Source organism: Homo sapiens, chromosome 1 (assembly GCF_000001405.40).
Source record: "Homo sapiens chromosome 1, GRCh38.p14 Primary Assembly".
NCBI classification, from domain to species: Eukaryota; Metazoa; Chordata; class Mammalia; order Primates; family Hominidae; genus Homo; species Homo sapiens.
Genome location: NC_000001.11, coordinates 232,259,811 through 232,269,490, shown reverse-complemented (window position 1 = coordinate 232,269,490; position 9,680 = coordinate 232,259,811). Strand labels below are relative to the sequence as shown.

Here is a 9,680-nt window from a genome sequence, read left to right as displayed (position 1 = left end):
TCCGGCAGGCACAGAACCACACTTGCTTCTCAGCACCACTGAAGCTAGTGGCTGGACCCTGGATGCTGAGTCAGGCAGCCCAGCATCATCTCCAGGACAGTAGCTCCAGGAGCTGCAGCTAAAGCCACAGGCAGTAGCCCCTGCCACACTTCCATCTTCCAAATCATGCAAGTTCGTCATAAACAAACCATCCAGCACCCTAGCTGCAAGACAGTCTTAAAAGGCATTTAAAAAAATCTTTCCAGCCCTGTCACACAAGAAGTCACCAAGAAAATAAGGTGGAATGGAATAATGGAATATAAATGCCAATTCCCCATCTCCACCCTGTGACTGAGGTGCTGGGTTTGGAAGTCGTTTCTGAGTCATGAAGTAGCATCAGGAAAATGCTGGAGGTCCTGAAGTAGTGAATGGAGGCATAACTAGGAAAATCTGACTTGTCACTATTACTGTGATTGATTTTTTAAAATGTCTAGATTGTGTGGGATATGGAAAAATGGAGATGGTACCTATTTCACAGGATTATTTTGAAGATTTATTAAGACAAAATAAAAGAAAAAGCCTGTGTATATTGTAAATTATACAATGATAGTAATTTTAGGTGAAAAAAAACAAAAACAAACATAAGTCTTTCCACTAATGAGTCAGAAATAAATCCTGTTGAACAAAGTCTAAACAGGATCCCCTCACAGAAGGTTTACATAACAGTTAGTCGTTGGTGTTTAGTATGATAAACATCCTGCTCATGGGAAAAGGTGAGTCCATTCCTCCAACTGCCACCATCCCAAGGAGATTTCATTAACCTTTAGCAAAATCTCTGACCTACAGCCCCAATCTGCTGGTTCATCTGAGAGTTGGCACCTGGCATCCTCATCTACCATAACCTGGAGATTTACAAGAAGTCCTCCAATGGTACCCAGGGGAGAATGTGTCCTGGGCCTCCCCACAAGGCTTGGCAGCACCTTCTCCAAGTTTGTCCCTGCCTTAGCAGCTCCTGCTTGTGGGGCTGGCACTGTGCTGTTCTTTCTGCCTCCACCTCAGCCAAAAGCAACGTCTAGCTGTCGGAGTAGTCTCACGATTCCTGCAGACAGAGGGGCTTAATTACGCAATTCATTAATGTAAGGAACCACTGTCTCAGTTTTAGGAAAGCTTTGAGAACAGATCTAAAAGCTGACCTTGGGGCTGGGTGTGGTAGCTCATGCCTGTAATCCTAGCAGTTGGGGAGGCCAGGGTGGGAGGATCACTGGAGTCTTGGAGTTCAAGACCAGCCTGGGCAACACAGGGAGACCCCATTTCTTTACATAAATAAATAAGTAAATAAAATAAAAACTGACCTTGGAATTAATCTTTAACATAACTTTTATATATTAGCCAATGTGATCAAAGAAAGGAAGGCATGAGAGAGGGGAGAGGAAGGAAGGAAGGATAGAAGGAAGGAGGAAGAGAGAGAAAGAGCATAAGAGAGAAGGGAAGATAAAAAGGCAGAAAGGCAAAGAGAAAGAATGAAAGGGAGAAAGAAATAAAGAAGGCAATGAAAGGAAAGGAGGAGAGGAGAAGAGAGGAAAGGGAGAGAAAAGGAGTTCTATGCAAATTTTGTACTTTTTATTTAAAGAAAAATCAACCCCAAGTGGCAATATAAGAGCAAGCCTGTTTGGACAGATTTAGGCTAGATTTACCATAGGGAGCTCTACCTGACACATCCTGACTCAAAGCCATTGTATTTTCCATCAGTCACAGCTCAATTTCCCTCCAGTTCTGTCTCAGAAAACCCAGAGCTGAAATGGGAGGAAATTGCACTGCTCTTACTGCACAGTGTCAATAAAAACAGCAAAGAGGGTGAAGACACGCACTCCAGATCAAAGTCCCATTAGTGCTGATGCTGCAGGACCTGGGGACCAAACAGGATCTCCACCATGAGCCATTTTTCTTATGGGAACCCAGTCTGCCTCAGTCGATTTTTAAAAATATCCCTCAGAGTTCATATGAAAAATGTGAACTGGCTAGTGGGGGATAAGTTCCTAGAGGCTGGTTTGTGAGCATAGGGAAGAGACTGTAGAGCGAAATAATGTCTGCTTCATCTAGGAGTCACTGGAAATCCCGTTGGGTTTAGCACTGTGCACAGAACCAGGGGCTGAGTCCAGGCCTGGGTTTTTGTGAAGGTGCTTTCCCATGTGGTAAACAGAGCTTTGCTTACCTTATTCACTTCCTTAAGGAGAGCAGGAAGCATTTCAGTCATAGTTTATAGCACAGATGCAATGTATTTGTCATTTCAATGAATTACACTCTCCTTCACTGCGAGTTTCCCATCCATGCCTTCACTGCAGCATAGATGCTATTGGCCTTAATTCTATCATGCAACCAAAGCTGGTATGGTGGTATCCAGGGTTACCATGATTTAGGATTTCACAGAGCAGCCAGGAGAGCCAGGATTTGGGGTCAAAAGCAAGTGCCAGTTCTCTTTCCCTGAGCCTCAGTTTCCTCAGCTGTAAAGTGGGAAAGTCAGAAAAACAATCTCACCAAGTTGTTAAGAAGTGAGCTAGTGTTCAGGAAATATCTTAAATAGTAAAGCGACATAGTTACTATTGTTAAACTGCTGCCAAAAAGAGCTAAAGTCACCCAACTAAACCTTTCAGTGATTGTGAGAATCCAACACCCAACTCATAAAATTGTCACTATAATGATATTATTGAAATTTAAGAATTTCAAAGATAACATCATGATATTAAGACGAATATGTTATAGAGTCAAAAGATAGCCACTTCCCTCCCTTCACTATTTAACTCTGAGTCAATCCTTTTGGCAAGTTGGTATTACTCCGTGAAATGGTCATGACTGCTACAACAGGTTTATAATGCAGTGGTATGTGCCTTGTCTTAGCTGTTTTAACGGAAGGCTAAGACTAAATGCTAAGAGTGTAGTTTGGAAAGCTCTGCATGATTTTGTTTCTTGGTTCCTCTTTATTTTGACACCTAAGCCTCTGCAATTTAATTCTTTTGACCCCTAACCCCTTAGTGGCATCTCCCAAGATCAACACAGCCCTCGTCATCCTTGTAAGAGCACCCAAGAGCTCTTCCCCAGAGGTCCACAAAATCAATGCCTGGTTTCTCCAATGCTGCAGTCATCTTCCTGATCCGTGTTTTTTTGAGCATCTTCTCCTAGTTCCTTGCACCTTCTCTCCAAGCAGTGCAAATGAGTGTCAGATAAGAATCAGGGGAGACAGGCCTCTGATGGATGGTAGATGATGAGGGAAAGAGGTGCTCACCCACCAGCATTCCCGCCTACCCACTGCACCCACCGACCTCGGCTTTCCTGGAGGCAGTGAATGTTACCCACAGCACAGAGGTCACCAAGGGGCTAGGCAAGCAAATGGGATTTTAAATATGAGCACTTCTTGCCTCAGCTCTGCTGGAGAATTTTCTGCCTTATTTTCTTTTCTTCTGGAGATAAACAAAACAGGAAATCAAACTCAAAAATGCATGAGGCATTTATTCAGGCAAACAAAGGATCCAATTTTAAATATCCCTCACGCTAAATTCTTTCTCTCATTCATACAGGCAGATCAAACCTTAGAGACAAATGCAATTTCTGTGGGAGTGATTATGCCTCCCTGGCTTCCTGAGCCTTGCTCAGTCTGAAACAGTGCCCTTTCCAAGCGCCCATGAATTTCATCACTAGATACTTATTAGATATTCCCTGTGGCCTCCACTTCACAGATGGAGAAAGTGGGCTTCCAGGAAGTATGATTACTTACCCTAAAGGACACCCAGCTGGGCTGAGAGCTCTGGAGGCCACTGAATGCTTGCATGAGTTGTGCCCAACCTGGCTTTAAGAATCAGAGGGTCCTTTACAACTTTGAAAATATTTTCAGTCAGTGTGCATCATCTTCATTGCTTATGAAATGCCTGTATATAGTCTAAGCACTGCCAGGGTAGTAAAGAAGATGAAATTGGATCTTTTAAGTGCTTACCATCTTGTTAAGGAATCAGCGGGATAACTTTCTTCAAATCCTTTCAATATCCTCTTGTGTTAATCAAGGTTGCCAGAATGAAACCCATTCTAGGTAGAAAGCAAAGCAGAAAGAAAGCTTATCTATTAAAGAAATATTAGGAAACTCAGAATCTCCAGAGATTCAAGCAGGGAGTTCTCACAGCCTGGAGGCCCCGTGGCCTCTGAAATCATGGTATCTCTCTGCCATATTCTACCTCTTTTGCCAGAAAATGACATCTTTTCAGCGTCTGCTTCCTCTCTTAAGTGAGTAACTGATGAGCCAAGTTTAAGTCTTGTGGCTTCACATTAGGTGACAAGAAGGCTGAGAAGGAGTTCATTCTTATCAAAGTTCTAGCTTTTACCTACAGAAAGCTTCATTCTAATGTTTCCCAAACACAGGAAAACTGTTAAAGAGTCTGGCATCCGAAAAATGGCAAATATTTGCCAGTCCACGACAGTCATGCCAGCCGATACCCTCATAATTTCGTACTTAGTTTTATGTAGTATGCTAACTCTTTTTCCTCTTTTCTAACTCTTCTCTCTCCATTCCTTACTCTACATAATTTCTAGATCGATTTTTCTAAAATGCAGCTCTCCAGTCCTTCAACGACTCCCTATTAAAATGCCAATATTTCCAGCAGGAGCTAAGCATTAAACAATTAACCTCAGTTTAGTCTATGGAATTAATCTGGGGAGCAGGCATCACTCCCAAGAGAATGGAACATAGCCTAGGTGAATTTTACAAGGCATGGAAAAAGACCCAGAGGAAGGCAGAGCCCCTGAAGCAGGGGGGGCCAGGCCAATGGAAGGAATGGGGTGGCAGAGACAGCACTAAAAGAACACTTGTTTGTCCTTGAGCACATCCTTGGTACTGAGATGGGCTCCTGGAACACAGGGGAAGGAGACACAGTCCCCTGGGAATTGGAGCCTGAAAGCCTCCTAGAACTTAGCTTTATGCTTGGCTCATTTTGACAACAATGGAGCCCAGGAAGAAGAAATCTTGTTTTTACCATCCAGAAGAAGAGGGGGTATAAAAGGAAGGAGCTTCATCAGGAGGGGGTATTCACACTGATACCTATTTAGCCTGATTTCCAGTGATTTAGGTCAAACACCTTTCTGCAGAGATGGAGAAAAAATGGGTAAAGAAATGTAGCACCGGCCATCTCTGAGTGGGGAGGTTCTGTGCTTCCCTTTAATGACCATGTAGGATCTAGAGCATAGTGTAAATAACTCTTCAGTGGATTTTCTTCATCCAGCATTTGCCAGGAGAGAAGCTGTGGCTGGTAAGCACTGTCAGCCTTTATGTATCTTGGTTTCCTGTGTCTAATATGGTGACCAGAGTATGTTTTCAAACCTTCCATTCACTTTCTTGGCCCTGAGAATTCTGTGTTCTGAGGGCTGGCAACATGAGAGTATTCGTGCTGTGTTATTCCCTTTAGGAAGGATGAGGAGGGGCAAACCTGTGACTCCATAAGCACATGGAGAGGCAGAACTGGACTGGCTGCCCTGTGGTCAGGCCCTGAGCTTTATGGTCCTTCTTGGCATTGGTGACCAGAACAGCGGCTTTCCTATGGCTTCAACGGGAAAGGAGAAGATGATTCTTCAGCCTGGTCTGGACAGACAGCCCCCATTTCGATGCTCCTTAGCTAGAGGCAGGGTGGGATAAGAACAATTTTTTGGAAGCTCAGCCTGTCTTCTTCATTTGGGCATTCATTCATTCATCAAGCCTATCTTCACCAAACACCCCTATCTGTCAGGCAGAGCAATAAATAAGGGAGATGCAAAGGTACTTAAGTTCATGGAAGGAGAGAGGACAATGACCCTTGGGCGAGGTGTGTACTGGTGATTAAAGAATAAAGTTACCAGATGGGCGCGGTGGCTCATGCCTGTAATTCTAGCACTTTGGGAGGTTGATGCAGTAGGATTGCTTGAAGCCATTAGTTTGAGATTAGCCTGGGCAACAGGCTAATCTCAAACTGAATTCAGGAAATTTTTTCAATCACTGGAAATCAGACATTAATGGAATTAATCTGGGGAGCAGGCATCACTCCCAAGAGAATGGAACATAGGCTAGGTGAATTTTACAAGGCATGGGAAAGGGCCTTGTAAATCAAACATTTCTCTACCCATTTTTTTTCTTCATTTCTGCAAAAATGTGCTTGATCTAAATCACTGGAAATCAGACTAAACAGCTATCAGTGTAGAGCCTCCAGAGCCTTCTGATGAAGCTCCTTCCTTTTATACTCAGGACCCTTTACTGGATGGTAAAATATGTATATATATATATATGCACATAAGCGCATGGAGAGGCAGAACTGCACTGGCTGAGCATTCATGAGTATGCTGAACAGCAGAGCTGAGGCAAGAAGTGCTCATATTAAAAATCCCATTTGCTTGCCTAGCCCCTTGGTGACCTCCGTGCTGTGGGTAACATTCACTGCCTCCAGGAAAGCCAAGGTTGGTGGGTGCAGTGGGTGGGCGGGAATGCTGGCAGGTGAGCACTTCTTTCCCTCATCATACCATTTTTTCCTCCATTTCTGCAAAATGTGTTTGACCTAAATCACTGGAAATCAGACTAAATAGGCATCAGTGTAGAGCCTCCGGAGCCTCCTGATGAAGCTTCTTCCTTTTATACTCAGGCCCCTTTACTGGATAGTAATATGTATTATATAATATTTTATATTATATAATATAATAATATATATTATATAATATTATATACTATTATATAATATAATATATATTATTATATATTTATATATTATATAATATTATATAATATTATATAATATTATTATATATTATATAATTATATATTATTATATAATATTATTATATATTATATAATGTAATATATAATTATATAATATTATTATATATTATATAATGTAATATATAATTATATAATATTATTATATATTATATAATATAATATATAATATATAATATAATATTATTATATAATATAACAACATAATATAATCTAATAACATAATATAATATATATAACAACATAATATAACATAATATATAATAATATATATATCATATATGTATATATATATATCATATATATATTGTTTTTTCTTCCTGTGCTACAATGTTGTCACAATGAACCAGGCATAGCTTTGGGGTAGCAGACAAAGGACAGTGGCACCAGCATATAGCTACAAAAAAATTAAAAATTATCCAGACATGGTGGCATGTACCTCTAGTTCCAGCTACTCAGGAGGCTGAGGTAGGAGGCTCACTTGAACCCAGAAATGGGAGGTAACAGTGAGGCATGATAGTGCCACCGCACTCCAGCCTTGGTGATAGAGCAAGACCTTGTCTCTAAAAAAAGAAAAGTAAAGAAAGAACCCAGAATGGAAACCTCCTTCCTTTCCCCCAAATAATTCTGAAGGTTCTTCTCCTTCCAAATGCCCACATCTCACCAATGCCCACATCTCACCAATATGCACACTCTCCCGCACACTTGCAGATCCTCTTGTCTGCCATGGGGCTCAGAATTAGATAGGGGTAAAAAGCCGGTGAGGGGAGAGAAGGGAGGGAGCAGAAAAGCCAGGAGAGAAAGACGCTCCGCAAAATATAGGACTCAAAACCCTTCAGCGGGAGGAGGGGAAGCCCTGGTGCCTCCCCTGCTGGCTTCCCCTCTCTCATGCTTAGAATTTGCTTCCTTCCAGGTTCAGAACCAGGACCTTCTGCCTTGGCCTCCTACCTGCATGAGTGGCTGGCCACTCTTAGCATCCACTGCCCACCCTCTGTGGCCACAGGTAAGTGTGTACATGTTCCCTGCTGCCCCAAAGCTGGGAGTTGCTTCATGTGCAGGACTAGAACAGGGACCAGCACACAACAGATTCCTATTTAATGTGCTATCTGGGGCTCTTCAGAAACTCCCCCCTTGTGAAGCTGTTAGCACAGCCTGGGATTTTATATCAGGAGAATAAACCAGGAAAGAACACAGACAGAGAATTCTTCAGTCACCACCAGAGAATGCTCTCTAGTGAACCAAAAAACTTGTCCTCAGCTCAGGACACACGAATTCAGGGCTCGCACCTGAGGCTTCTAAAGCAGGTCTACCCCAGACCCTTGATCCTCCCTGGTGCTTTTGAGGAAAACTGGGAGAAACCCTGGCCAGGACTCTCAGCTGCCAACTGCCTGATTCTCGTGAGTGAAGTAGTAATGAGAGCAGTAATCCACAAATATGACACCTGGCTGTGAGGGAGAAGCAAAGGCTGTCTGCTCGGTAGAAAATGCCCCCATTTCCCGATTCTAGACCTGGCCCAGCCTTGGCTCCCTTACCTTGTCAATAAAGCGGCTTCATTTCCTGTCTTATTCTGGCTGCTGGGAGAAGACCTTCTGGAGTCATTTACCTATTGGGTCCCTTCTCCGAGAACTCAGTCCCCGCGCAGGTGCAGTTGGCACGCGCTCTGTCTCAGCCCTGAGCCCTAAGGCACTGGATGTCTTGGATAGACAAGAAGTACGGGTTATTTGGGGTAGACAGGAAGTGTGAGTGAGTTGGGTAAGCAGGCTGGGGGAGGGTGGGAAAAAAGGTGTCATATTTGTGGATTACTGCTCTCATCCATAAAAGAAACCCCCTGCCTTATATTCTATGGTGAAATTGCAACAAAAATACCTGTGACTCCAAACGTGCGCAGTTTTTTCTCCTTTCCTTCTCTGCACCTTCCTCAGACACAGTTTACCTGTGACTTCCACTTTGTGATCTCATAGACTTCAGAGATTTCCACACAAGCCACATATCTTACAGTTCAAAATCCTGATCATACATAGCTTCAACTCACATTTTTTTCTCCTAGACTTGAAGTGTTCACAGCATCAGTTTCTATCTTATGTAGGAAAAAAAAACCTGTCCCATAAAAGCAATATCAGGCTAGTGAGGGAACGAGAAATATATAAACATATGTCTCTCACTCCCTCACTCCAAAATCAATACACATATTTTTTTAAAAAAAAAGCACTTCTATATTTGAGATATTTTCAGCTTTCTTTCATTGTCTTAAACATCTGTTAGGTTGTCTTTCTGCAGACAGTCGCTAAATAATATGGTTTATTTTGGGTAACTGATTATAGGAAACCATCCCATATAGCCACAAAATAACATTTTTAATCACATCTTCTTTTCAACTTTAAAGAACCAAATGATTTCCTTATCTTGACATGATTTATCATTTGAGCATAAGCCCGGGACCTAGGAGGATATTATCTATAGCTCCTTCACATGAAAGGTTCTTATCAAGCAAGCAAAGTTTACAATCACAGCCAGAGAATAGAAGAAAAACAAATGGTATGGTCAATAGTTCTCTATGGCAGATTTTTTTCAGACGGTCTTATCTAGTGAACCTCTTTCCAAAAAGCTCACAGACGATGTGATTTTCCATTAACTGCAGAGATAGGGTAGGTGATGTGGATAATATTTTGAATTTTTCTCTTTTCACTGGCTATCAGCTAAGACTCCTATTTTATTTCTTTTTGGGCATTAGTTGGGGTTTTTCCCTCATGAGCTCAAAGCCTTTGTTGCTAAAGATTTTCTCTCACGACAGATTGTTTTGATCAGAAGCTTAAAAACCATAAGGAAAAGACCACTTCTCTCCATTCTCTCGTGCTCTCTTGGGATTGGGTAACTTGTGTGGCCCAGTTGGAGGTGCCTCCCCAGGTTCACTTTGCTACCAAAAAAA

At 42.2% G+C, this 9,680-nt stretch overlaps 1 long non-coding RNA gene across 1 annotated transcript; it reads right to left on the bottom strand.

Moving 5' to 3' along the window:
- Positions 1–509: 509 nt before the first annotated feature.
- LOC124904550 (uncharacterized) lies at positions 510–8,459 on the bottom strand. Its single transcript, XR_007066942.1, has 2 exons — positions 8,287–8,459; positions 510–4,053 (listed from the first exon to the last, which is right to left on the bottom strand). It is a non-coding gene; the product is annotated as an uncharacterized LOC124904550 (long non-coding RNA).
- Positions 8,460–9,680: the final 1,221 nt, after the last annotated feature.